At 37.5% G+C, this 13,710-nt stretch overlaps 1 protein-coding gene and 1 long non-coding RNA gene across 9 annotated transcripts in view; both read left to right on the forward strand.

Moving 5' to 3' along the window:
• Positions 1-13,710, forward strand: part of TSNAX-DISC1 (TSNAX-DISC1 readthrough (NMD candidate)) — a 512,620-nt gene that overhangs the window by 810 nt on the left and 498,100 nt on the right. For 7 of the 8 annotated variants that reach the window (NR_028393.1, NR_028394.1, NR_028395.1 and 4 more), the window contains exons 3-4: positions 7,751-7,865; positions 13,019-13,149. The exons of the other annotated variant lie outside the window; for it this stretch is intronic. This is a non-coding gene — a long non-coding RNA (TSNAX-DISC1 readthrough (NMD candidate)). The remainder of the gene's footprint in view (positions 1-7,750; positions 7,866-13,018; positions 13,150-13,710) is intronic. 8 annotated transcript variants of the gene reach the window in all.
• TSNAX (translin associated factor X) overlaps positions 1-13,710 on the forward strand; it is a 37,856-nt gene that overhangs the window by 794 nt on the left and 23,352 nt on the right. Inside the window, exons 3-4 of the mRNA NM_005999.3 lie at positions 7,751-7,865; positions 13,019-13,149. Of these exons, the coding sequence (NP_005990.1) occupies positions 7,751-7,865; positions 13,019-13,149 (246 nt within the window). The remainder of the gene's footprint in view (positions 1-7,750; positions 7,866-13,018; positions 13,150-13,710) is intronic.

The raw sequence follows: 13,710 nt of genomic DNA on the forward strand, positions 1-13,710 counted from the left end.
GCTGGAGGTTTTGTGATGGCGCTAGATGTACCCTAAAAGTCTGGATTACAAAGGCCTTCACTTTTATGTCCCATTAAGAGAAATATTAGTAATCAGGTAAACATGACTTAAACACAAGAAACAGTAAACATTAATTAATATTTGACATGTCACATACTCAAGAATTGTGTACCTGATAATATTTACTCATCTGTTATATGCTAAAATATATTTTCATTTAGTGTGTATTTGTTTCCTCTACTAGACTTGAAGACAGGGACGGTATCTTTGTTTTAACTGTAACACTTAGCACAGAGTGGGAGCTTGTATCTATTAGTGAATCTCGCATATCTATATACACATATTTTCACAGTCCCCTTTTCTCAGCATATTAACTTGGACAAGTTATTCCTCAATTCAAAACAAACACAAAACAAAATCCTCTTCCTTTTGTCCCTGTCTATCCACTATCCTGTACCTTACGTTTCTGTGATTAAGGAATCTGGGAAGGGCTTAGCTGGTTGATTCCTATTTGCAATCACCTGAAGCCTTGATTGGGGCTGAAGGATCTACAGCTGTTGATAGTTTAGGCCTTTTGCCTGCAACCAGCTCTCTGTTCCTGTCCACATGAACTTCTTGTGCTGCTTGGATGTCCTTTGGTGTGGCATCTGGCCTCCTTCAGAGAGAGAGAGTGCAAGAGAGCAAGGAGGAAACCACAATCTCTATGTCCTAATCTCAGACATCAGACACTGTCATTTTTGTCACATTGTGTTTGTTAGAAGGGAGGCAGTTTTAAAAACTGTCTCACATTGAAGAGGAAGGAAGTTATGTCCCACCCTTTGGAGGGAGGAGTCTCAGGTTATTTGTGGATATATTTGAAAACCACCACAGTATCTACTGTGATCGTCAGAAGTTTAAGACAGCTGGCCGTAATTGAATAAAGAGCGTACTGATACAGAAGGTGGAGTTGCGGCTGGGTGTGGTGGCTCACGCCTGTAATCCCAGCACTTTGGGAGGCCGAGGCGGGGGGATCACGAGGCCATGAGTTTGAGACCAGCCTGGCCAACATGGTGAAACCCTGACTCTAATAAAGTACACGGTGAAACCCCGTCTCTACTAAAAATACAAAAAATTAGCCGGGCGTCAGTAGTCCCCACTACTTGGGAGGCTGAGGCAGGAGAATGGCGTGAACCCAGGAGGCGGAGCTTGCAGTGAGCCGAGATCGTGCCACTGCACTCCAGCCTGGGCAACAGAGCGAGGCTCCGTCTCAAAAAAAAAAAAAAAAAAGTACGAAAAATTAGTTGGTCGTAGTGGGAGGTGCCTGTAATCCCAGCTACTCGGGAGGCTGAGGCAGGAGAATCGCTTGAACCCGGAACGCGGAGGTTGCAGTGAGCCGAGATCGCGCCTTTGCACTCCAGCCCCGGCGACAGAATGAGACTCCATCTCAAAAAAAAGAAAAGGTGGAGTTGCTTCTAAGGTGGTGTCCTCATTACCCGTCTGCTGAACTACAGTTTTTTGGTTTTTTTTTTTTTTTGAGACAGAGTCTCTGTCACACAGGCTGAGATAATAATTAGGCACGATCTTGGCTCACTGCAAAACCTCTGCCTCCTGGGCTCAAGCCATTTTCCTACCTCAGCCTCCTGAGTAGCTGGGACTACAGGCGTGTGTCACCATGCCTAATTTTTTTAAATTTTTTTGTAGAGACAGGGTTTCGCCATGTTGCTGGAGGCTGGTCTTGATCTCCGAGCTCAAGCAGTCTGCCCGTCTCGGCCTCTCAGAGTGCTGGGATTACAGGCGTGAGCCACTGCGCCTGGCCTGAACTACAATTTTCTTTAAGACCTAGCTCAAGTAGCCTCTTTCCTGTGAATGCGTTCTGATTTTTCTCTCAAGCCGACTTGGTGACCAACATGAAATATTTATTGAGTATCTGCTATGTTCTCGCATGTATTAGTAGTGAACAAGAAACGTGGTTTCTGCTTTCATAAGTTTTTTACATATATTTGTTATAGCATGATTACATTTTATTTGTTTACATCTCTGTCCCTCATACAGGACTGAGCTCCTTGAGGATAGGAATTGTTCCTTATCTAACTTTGTGTTCATAGTGTCTGACTTACAGTGGTCATTAATATAGCCATAATAAATAATGAATACATATTGATTATCTTAACCCTGGCCTAGTTATTATCTCAGTAATAAAAGACTAGATATATTTAGATCCATGTCAGCTACTAATTTAGTTAATAGTTTAAGTTCTTGTTTTTTCAGTTCGTGCAATATACATGATTGGGTGTTTCCTATAGGCCAGGCAGCTTGCGGGGCTGTGGAGTGAAAAGACTTGGGAAATAAAGGCGTTATTAAGAGAGTTAAGTGGTTTAAGGGTATTTCAAGGTACAGAGCTTGATAAATTCAGGAAGTTTATACTTGAAATTTGCTAAGTAAGTAGATCTTAAATGTTTTTACCACAATTAGCTGGGCATGACAGCATGCGCCTGTAGTATGCTTATAGTCCTGGCTACTCCGGAGGGGCTGGGGCAGGAGGACTGCTTCAACTCAGAAGTTTGAGGCTGCAGTGAGCTGTGATTGGGCCACTGCACTCCAGGCTGGGCAACAGAGACCCTGACTCAAAAAGGAAAAAAAAAAAACTAACTGAGGTGATGGATACGTTAATTAGCTTAATAGTGGTAATAACACACACACACACACACACACACACACACACACACACACACACACACACACACAGTTTTGGTTTTTTTTTTTTTTTGGAGACAACGCCTCACCCTGGCCCAGGCTGAAGTGTGCAGTGGCGTGATCTTGGCTCACTGCAAGCGTAGCCTCTTGGGCTCAAGTGATCCTCCCACCTCAACCTCCCAAGTAGCTGGGACTACAGGCATGTGCCACCACACGTGGCTAGTTTTTAGATTTTTTTGTAGAGGCAGGGTCTCACTGTGTTGCCCCTGCTGGTCTCGAACTCCTGGGCTCAAGTGATCTGTCCCCCTTGGCCTCCCAAAGTGCTGGGGTTACAGGCATAATCAATCATGCCTGGCCTTATAATTTTTAATTGTCAGTTATACCCCAGTAAAGGTGGAAAAGCAGGAAGACAACAGGGAAAAAAATTTTAATAAACTTGAAAAAAAAGGTCCAAGTTTCTTTTTTTGGAGGTGTTTATATTATTAATATATGTGGTTAAAGTAATTTTTAAAACTTTATGTAACTCTTTGTTACGTGTCATTTTGTGATAATCTCTTGTTTACTAAGTTCATTTTTTACAACTTGTACAGTATTCCCATTGTGAGACTAAGTAGTAAAACCCAGTTAATACATACCTATATTTAAAGAGGAAAATATTTTAGTTGAGCCTTTTTGATTTCCATGTAATTTAGAAATAAGATGATTTTATTCTCTTCATTTTCATAAACTGAATAATTATTGCTTTCTTACATATAGAGACAGTACTTTTAGGTACAGACTGTTTTTGCTTTCTAGCCATTTGTATTCTAAGAAAATTAAAATCATTTCCCTTTTTTTTCCTTTCATAAGATTTACCAAGTGTTTTGGAAAAGTTTGACATAAAAGCTTACAGGTCTGTCAGAGGAGATTTTAAAAGGGATTTCATGGGAAGTCTTTTTTTTTTTTTTTTGAGATGGACTCTCACTCTGTCACCCAGACTGGCGTGCAGTGGTGCAGTCTCAGCTCACTGCAACCTCCGCCTCCCAGGTTCAAGCAATTCTCCTGCCTCCGCCTCCCAGGTTCAAGCAATTCTCCTGCCTCAGCCTCCCAGGTAGCTGGGACGACAGGCCTGTGCCACCATGCCCGGCTAATTTTTGTATTTTTAGTAGACATGGGGTTTCACTATATATTGGCTAGGCTGGTTTTGAACTCTTGACCTCAAGTGATCCACCCACCTCAGCCTCCCAAAGAGCTGGGATTATAGGCGTGAGCCATCGCGCCCGGCCCGGAAAGTCTTTAATGAGAAGCACTAGCTTCCAGACAAAATTTCATGAGATAGTATAGTTTGTTCAACTCAAACCCAGGATCTTTAATGTCCGAGCAACCACTTTGCTATCAAAGTTGGAGTTAATTGCATTAAAAGGAGTTATCAGATCAATATTCTACTGTTGTTGAATCATCTGAGTAAAGAAATACTGTCTCTTTTTAAATTTATTTTGAGGTAATCTCAAATTTATTTAAAAAACTAGAAGACTTAATGCAGTTGGAAAAATAGTACAGAGAATTTCTGTATAGACTTGACTTAGATTGACCAATTTTTAACATTTTGCCACTTTTGCTTTATTATTCTCTCTATATATGTAAATTTATATGTCTAACCATATATTCTGAACCATTTAAGAACAAGTTGCATGCATCATACCCCTTTACTTGTTAATACTTCAGAATATATTTCCTAGGAAGAAGACTATTCTGTTGTATAACTCTAGTATTGTTAACTAATTTCAGGAGATTTAACACTGACATAATACTTTAATCTACAGTGCATATTTTGACAATTGTCTCAATAAGGTTCCTTCCAGCTTTTTTTCTCTCTAGTCCAGTAATCTAGAACAGGATCACATATTACATTGTAATGTCTCTTTTTAGTTTTCTGTGATCTGGAACAGTTTCCCAGTTTTGTCTTTCTTGACAATGATATTGATTGAAGAATATAGGTCTTATTTAATAGAATATTCCTCAACTTAGATTTGATTAATATTTTCTCATGGTTAGATTCAGGTTATGCATCCCTGGCTGGAATACTACATAAATGATGGTTTGTTGATTTGTTCTTTTTGGGGGTATTGCAAGGGACCAAGTAATGTAAGGCTTCATAAAGAGTTTGGAGTTTGTTAAACGTAATGCAGAGTCATTAGAGAGTCTTAAAAACTAAAGTATATTTTAGAAATGTCACTCTGGCAGCTACAGAAAGGCAAGGTGGGCAGACGCAGACCAGACAAGAGACTATTTTGTAGTTCCGGTACAGTAAGGTATTTGTAAGGTAACTTAGAGGTAATAAAGTAATAAGGTAACTTAGATTTGGATGACAGTAATGAAGCTGATGAGACAGATTCAACAGTGCTTTATAAAATTAACTTATATTACTATTATGAGTAATTTATACTTTATTCCAACTGCATTAGCATACATTTGAAAAAGTAATAGCAGCAAAATAATAAGACATTATTCCATGTTAGGGGCAGTGCTTATTGGGCACATGGATTTGCAGTTCCTTTTCAACAATTTCTTAGTTCCCAGGAGATTGCATACCCTTAGTACGTTTATCTCAAACTACAACAGATGCTCTTATCCAGTATGTTATACTGCTTATGATTTCAACAAGCAGTTCAGTCAGGAAATGTTTTGTGAACACCTGCTGCTAGACATGGATCTATGCTCTGATACAGTGGTGAAACAAGTGCATTTACAAATAAATAATATAATTTTAGCTAGCGAAGGATAAATGTAAATCAGTGAAGCGTGGTAAGGAATGGAGAGTAAGGGAGGAGGGAGGCACGTGATTCTTAAGCAGTCCTTGAGCAGAATGATATCTGAATGATGAAAGTGAAATGTGAGATGATGAGAGGCAGTAGCAAAAATAGAGGCATCAAGAAAGGTACAAGCTTAGAGAATCAGGACTAGCAAGAAGACATAGTCTGCCTGGCTCATGAGCTAAGGGCAGGACATGAGGCAGTTTAATGTGTTAGAGGCATGAATTTACTATGAAAAGATTCTAGATTCTGCGGGTTATTTTTCCCATAGGTAATGTAATCTTTATGTAGACTCCCAGTTGTTGTACTGTTTTATTAAATGTTAGGTATATACAACGTTCTGTAAGTATAGCTTTGTGTTCTGGAAAAGGTAAACAGTCTTTCTTCAGTTAAATTTATTTAATACCTTTTGCTCTAAGTATATTCACAAAACTTTAGATGTAGTCTTTTAAACAATAATACAAAGTAATTATTTTGTTAACTGTTAAGAATTTTAGTAAGGAAAAAATTTTGAGGCTGAAACATCTGATAGTGGTATAATGAAAGCTTGTTCTTTAAAAAAACTTAAAACACTGTTTTTGTTTGGCAGTCTCAAGTTAGGCTTTCCGTAAAAAGTTTACCAAGGTAAAATTCTTTGAGTCTCAATATTCGAGACTAAAACAAATTAAGCAGAGTAGATGAAACTTAAGTTAGCATAAAAGGTAAGCAGATTGGCAGTTATATGTAATAGATAGAAACAAAAGTATTCCATTCAGCATTAAGTGCTGATCGAATACAGGTAAGGAGAAAACAGTAACTATAAGGAATCAAAGTGCTGACATTTAAGGAGACAAATGTATGAAAATTTTCCTGAAGGCAAGACATGTTAGAATTGTGAAAATGCTTTGTTCTGTAAGGAAAAGGATGTATGAAAGTGGGGAGGAAATCTTTTCTTAATGTAATATTATGTTATGGGAGATTTGTGTCCGTAACAATTTGACAGGTTGAAGATTAATTCTATGTGGAAGTGTTGAGTCTTCGAAGATAGTATGTAAGAATTGGACACCACAGCCTGCGTTCAGCCTTTCATCGATCTCAGGAACTCTTCTTCATTTTCTCCTACTTTCAGTTCTCTTCCTAGATTTCTAACATCCTGACTAACTCAATTTTCAGCTGACTTTTTTCCAGCCTAATTAAATTTTGATGTTTCTTACTGATCATTTTCAGATGAACTCTGCCACAGCTTTCTATTGATTGCAGAACTACTTTATGATCTAGTTCTCTAGTTATAACAAAACTAACTCATGTAGTGATTGTCTATTTTCAGTCATTTTTCCTTTTTTCTTCTTTACTAATCTTTCTGAAAATAATATTTCTGAAGTATATTATGCTTATGTATGCAATATTACTACATGGTAAAACAGTAAATTTGAGATTATGTACTTTCTAAAATAAACGGGCTAACTAGATTTTTACTTAGTATTTAAATGTGATATAATTTGGTAGCTTTTTAAAAAATTAAGATACAATACACATACTGTGGCACTCACTTTTAAGAAGTTGTTTCATGTTCATTTTAATATACACGTGCTACCTTACTACAATTGACAGATTTTTAGAAAATCTTCAAGGATTCAGGAATTTGTGAGCTGCTGTGCGTTGTTGGCATTTACAGAAATTATTAGATATTTAGTTTTAAAGGTTTAGAAATCTGGGAACATTAACTGGACCTCTTGAGCTACTTTAGCGCTGTTAGTGATGTATACCTAGGATATTTGACAATTAACACTAGAGTCAGTAGATGCTAGAGATTGTTTATAATCACCTTTTTGTGTTTTGAGAATTAGTGTCATTACCATCGTGTTCTACTTCTGAATGAAGTCAGGTGACTGCAGTCATTGTCTGCATTTACATTGTGACATCTTTTTTTTTTTTTCTTTTTTTTGAGACGGAGTCTCGCTCTGTCACCAGGCTGGAGTGCAGTGACTTGATCTCGACTCACTGCAACCTCTGCCTCCGGGGTTCAAGCGATTCTTCTGCCTCAGCCTCCCGAGTAGCTGGGACTACAGGCACATGCCACCATGCCCAGCTAATTGTTTTATTTTTAGTAGAGACGGGGTTTCACCGTCTAGGCCAGGATGGTCTTGATCTCTTGACCTCATGATCCACCTACCGTGGCCTCCCAAAGTGCTGAGATTACAGGCGTGAGCCACCGCACCCAGCATATGTGACGTACATCTTAAAAATATTGTTTGGTAGGCTTTGAGTATAGAATATACATGCTTATGATCATAATGTGTTTTTAGCATTTCAGCAGGAACTTGATGCAAGGCATGACAAATATGAGAGACTTGTGAAACTTAGTCGGGATATAACTGTTGAAAGTAAAAGGACAATTTTTCTCCTCCATAGGATTACAAGGTGAGTAAGCATCTTTAGAATTTATTACAGTTTGATACTAGCTATTAGAATATTCTGTGACTTTGTGAGGATTAGAAGACATCAGCAGTAGGTACAACTTAAGAGTTAATATTTTAATAAAAATAGGTCTCAGCTGGGTGTGGTGGCGCATGCCTGTAATCTCAGCACTTTGGGAGGCCAAGGCGGGCAGATCACTTGAGCTCAGGAGGTCGAGACCAGCCTGGGCAACATGGTGAAACCCTGTCTCTACTAAAAATACAAAAATTAGGTGGGATTGGTGGTGCATGCCTATCATCCCGGCTACTTGGGAGGCTGAGGTGGGAGGCTTGCTTGAGCCTGGGAGGCAGAGGCTGCAGTGTGCCAAGATCCCACCACCGCACTCTAGCCTGGGCGACTAAGCCAGACCCTGTCTCAAAAAAAAAAAAAAAAAAGGAAAAGTCTGTAGGGGTTGGGTGGACTTAAGAAAGAAAAATTCAGAGCAGCTAGGGATTTTGTGTTAAGATTATTCATTAAGATATAGCTATTGTCTGTGAAAATATATGATATATTTTGATTGTTAGAGCCTGTTACATTAAACTTTATTTGGATGATATGCGTGAAAATTTTAATATTAGATAAATGTTAAAATCTGCATAACCTATTTTCTCGTTCATTTTTGAACTCATGGCAGTCTGGCTTTCTGCCTCACAATTATTGAAATGCCCTTGTTACCTTCATATTATTAAGTCTCTGTTTTCTTATTTTACATTTTTGTAGCATATGATACTGTTGACTACTTAATTCTTTTTCGAAAGTTCCTGTTTCAGTTTTGTGACTTTTGTTTACATTTTTTTCTCTAGGACTTTACTATTTTATTTTTCTACGCAGGCTTTGTATATTTGATAGACTTCGTGATTGCAAGTAAAAGAAACTAACTTAAACTAGTCTAAGCAGAACGGGGAAATTAATTATAAAAAAAGCCACTATCAACTAGCAGATTTCTTATTTTATGCACTATTTTCTATTACAGTTGTAATCATATTATTCATACAGTTTTGACTAGTAAACTGAGAAAATAGCAGACTTCAGAAAAATTAGAACTTCCCAAGATTCAGCACTATCTTATGAGCAGCTGAGGATCTCCATCTTCCATCTTTGCTTCTTTGTTTGCTTCATAATTCATTTGACCTGATTCCTTTGCCTGTTTCACGAGAGGTAGAATAGTATCTACCCTACAACTCCCCAGCTTACGTGTTTTAGTCCAGCTTCTGAAGACGGATTGTTGTTACAAATTCCAGATGTCTCCAGAAGGGTAGCTGTGATTGGTTTTATACTATATGTCACAGAAAGAATGTAGGGAAGATCACATATAATTTATTAGCTTTTCGTTATTGAAGATATTATTGCCCGGGCATGGTGGCTCACACCTGTATGGGCAACATGGCAAAACCCCATCTCTACAAAAAATACAAAAAACTAGCTGGAGATGGTGGTATGCAAGTGTAGTCCCAGCTGCTCAGGAGACTGAGGCAGGAGGATTGATTGAGCCCAGGTGGTCAAGGCTGCAGTGAGCCATGATTGTGCCACTGTACCCCAGCCTGGGCGACAGAATGAGACCCTGTCTCAAAAAAAAAAAAAAAAAAGATACTGAAGTATTCCGTTCAGTAACATGAAACTTTTAAGATAATTCTCACATTTTAATTTTTACTTCATTAAATGGAATCTAATTTGCCATACATAGATTTATTGAAATATGGCACTGTTAACATTTTCTTTTTCTTACCTGACTGTGTAAAATTAGTTTTTGCTTGTTTTCTCATATCATTCTTAGATAGCTTGTACATAATAAGGCTTGTATTATCGAAAGAAGCAATACTGTTCTTATTAATTATGGACACTTTTTTTTAGTACTTATTACAATTCTAAAACAATTGCCATCAGTATTCAGCAGTAATATAAATAACAAAAGCAATAATATAAAGAAAAACATACAGATTGAGTATCCTAAATGCTTGGGACTGGAAGTGTTTTGGATTTCGGATTTTGGAATACTTGCAGATAATGTATGGGTTGAGCATCCCTTATCTGGAAATCTGAAATCTGAAGTGCTCTTGTGAGCATTTCCTTAGAGTGTCTTGTTGCTAAGAAAGTTTTGGATTTTGGAGCATTTTGGATTTCGGATTTTCAGATTAGGGATGCTCAACCTGTAATAGGAATATGACAGGAGACCTTAATATTTTAGAAAAATCTGCGTTACTGTGTGAAGTCATCTTTTAAATATTTTTCCACCAAAAAATAAATGCTCATTATAGTAAACTTAGAAAATGGTAGTCTTTAGAAAAATTACGAATGGCAGAAAGGTAAAGCTACTTAATGAGACAAATCAGTCTGTAGTACCCAAAGATAGCCTCTATCAACTAGCAGATTTCTTATTTTGTGCACTGTTTTTTATCATAGTTGTGATCATACTGTTCATACAGTTTTGACTAGTAAACTGAGAAAATAATAGACTTCAGAAAAATAAGAAACTTAAGAAAAAAATAGAAACTTTAGAAATATTAGAAACTTCAGGAAAGTAAAGATACTTCATGAAAGAGGCTGGATGTGGAGGCTCATGCCTGTAATCCCAGCACTTTGGGAGGCCAAGGCAGGCAGATCACTTGAGGTCAGGAGTTTGAGACCAGCCTGGCCAACATGGCGAAACCCTGTCTCTACTGAAAATATAAAAATTAGCCGGGCTTGGTGGCATCCCAGCTACTCGGGAGGCTGAGGCAGGAGAATTGCTTGAACTCAGGAAGCGGAGGTTGCTTGAACTCAGAATTGTGCCACTGCAATCCAGCCTGGGTGACAGAATAGGACTCTGTCTCAAAAAAAAAAAAAAAAAAAAAAAAACTTTATGAAAGAAATGAGCCAGTCACAGTACAGCTGAAAAACTGTTGTGAGAGGACCTCATGTATTTTAACTACAAAATTATTTTAATAGACATAGATAACTCTTCTTCAGTGAGCTTCAGTAGTTTGTGTCTTTCAAGGAATTTGCCATTTCCTCTAAGTTTTGAAATTTATTGGTGCTAATTTTCATTTTGATTTCACCTTTGACCCAAGAATAATTTAAGTATGTTATTTTGTGTCCAAATATTTTGGGAGTTTTCCAGACGACTTTCTGATACTGATTTCTAATTTAATTTCATGTGGTCAGAGAACATACTTTCTATAATTTGAATCCTTTTAAATTTATGGAGCCTTAATTTTGGCCCAGGATATGGTCTATCTGGTAAATGTTGTGTGTGCACTTGAAGAGTGTGTATTCTGTTATTGTTAGGTGTAATTAAGTCAGATTGGCTGATAGTGGTGTTCGCGTCACTTATTTCCTTATGATTTTCTGTACACTCGCTCTATCAGTTATTAAGAGAGAAAGAGGGTGACCTCTCTTGACGATAATTGTAGATTTGACTTTCTCCTTGAAGTCCTATCAGTTTTTTCTTCAAGTATCTTGAAGCTCTTTTATTTGGTACATTAATATTTAGGATTGTTATGCATTTAATGAATTGACCCTTTATCATTATGATGGTATCCCTGGATATAGGCTTTGCCCAAAGTTTGATGTTAATATAGCTACTCCTGTTTCGTTTGATTGTTATTAGAACGTATATCTTTTCATCCTTTTATTTTTAATCTATTTGTGTTTATATTTAACATGGATTTCTTGTCTCTCTTGCTTTTTAAAAATCCATTCTGAAAATCTCTGCTTGTTAGTGCAGGTGTTTAGACCGTTTACATTTAATGCAGTTATTGCTATGGTTATAATTAAATCTACCATCTATTCTTCTCTCCTTCCTGCCTTATTTTGGATAATTTTTTATGATCCCATTTTATCTTATTTGTAGGCTTATTAGCTATGCCTTTTTTGTTTTGTTTTTGTAGTGATTGTTTTATGGTTCATAATATATATCTTATTGTCAACTATTCTCACTTTGTACAATACTGTGTTTACTAAAATTTGTGCATACAAGAATCTTTTCACTTTGCATGATTTTTTGGTAACAGTTACTTTGCCAGTGAAGGTCACAGTTTTGATGTGCCCAAGTTTCAGTTAACACAGTACCATGCAAAGTAAGGACTACTTATCATTTCGCGTATGGTATAAAAATCTTATACTTCCTTTTCCATTTCCCCTCTACTAGCTTGGCCTTTTGTGCTACTGTTGTGATTCATGTTATTTCTACTTTTGTTGTTTCCACAATATGTTATGATTTTTACTTTAAACAGTATGATTTAAAAATAAGAAAAATATTTATCCACATTTACCAATTTTTGTAAATGTTCATTCCTTTGTGTATAGATTCAGATTTTTATCTGGTATCATTTTCCTTTTGCCTAAAGAACTTCTTTTAATATTTTTTGTAGTGTCAATCTGCTGATGATAAATCAATTCTTTCCGGCTCTGTGAACTAAGGGGATTGTTCTGCCTGCTCACTTTGGGCAATTCTTTTTCCAGCCTTAGGTAGTTTCCTCACATGCCTGCACTGATCAGTACTCAACTGAAGACTTGAGGAGGTTGCTTCTATAAATCTCTGAAGCTCTCTGTTTATACAGCTTTCTCCTCATTGTTACTCTGCTCTGCAAATTTTAGCTGTCTCGATCCCCCAAAACTCCCAACTCCTTTTCTACTCAGGCTGACTCCCAGGCTCCACCTAAGTTTCCTGTCTCTGTACTGTCACTTGGAAGCTTTCCAGGCAATAAGATGGGGCAGTCAGAGGGTATATGTTGTTCTCCTCCCTTTCCCCAGGGATCACTGCTCCATGCTGCCTGTAGTCCAGTGTCTGTAACCATTGTTTTCTGTATTTATTTTTTCTTTTTAGTTGTTTAAGGAGGGAGGATAAATCCAGTCCACGTTACTCTGCCCTTACTGAAAGCAGACATTTATCCATATATCATATTTTTATGAACAAAATTTTTCTTATAGTAAACATACAATTTTTGTATACTTTTTTCACTTAACAGTGTGTTAATAACATTTTCATGTTCTCCATACTATGAATAGTTTTGAGTAGTTTTGAGTTAGAAGTATATGAATGCATACAATATTTAGCCCTATGTTGATAATTAGGTTATTTTAGTTTTTCACTGTTAAAGCATCTGATGTTCTAAAAGTTCCCAATATCTTGATCATAGTGCTCCTGATATGGAAGATATATTGACTGAATCAGAAATTAAATTGGATGGTGTCAGACAAAAGATATTCCAGGTAGCCCAAGAGCTATCAGGGGAAGATATGCATCAGTTCCATCGAGCCATTACTACAGGTAAGTCTAGGTTTGTTTCAGGGTAATATATATTTTAAATGGTGTGCTACATGATTAACATGTGAGTTGCATGAATTTTAAGTGACACCTGATGAAATAATAATACTGGCTTTTAAAGAACTGCAACTTTGTAGTAATATAGAAGTAATCCAAAGGCAAGTTGGCTTTATGTTTTTTTTAACAGTGTAGTGATGGTCATTGATTGATTTTAATAAAGTATTTGAGAACACAGATTTAATAGGATGAACTTTATTCTTGAGTATGTAGGATGTGTTCAGACAGGGCACATCTCAGTGGTGGCTCACGCCTGTAATCCCAGCACTTTGGAAGGCCGAGGCGGGTGGATCACCAGGTCAGGAGTTCGAGACCAGCCTGGCCAAGATGGTGAAACCCCGACTCAACTAAAAAATACAAAACTTAGCCAGGTGCGTTGGCGGGCGCCTGTAATCCCAGCTACTCCGGAGGCTGAGGCAGGAGAATCACTTGAACCCGGGAGGTGGAGGTTGCAGTGAGCCGAGATCGCACCACTGCACTCCAGCCTGGGCGTCAGCACAAGACTCC

The sequence above is a fragment of the Homo sapiens genome, chromosome 1, assembly GCF_000001405.40.
Source record: "Homo sapiens chromosome 1, GRCh38.p14 Primary Assembly".
Classification (NCBI taxonomy): Eukaryota; Metazoa; Chordata; class Mammalia; order Primates; family Hominidae; genus Homo; species Homo sapiens.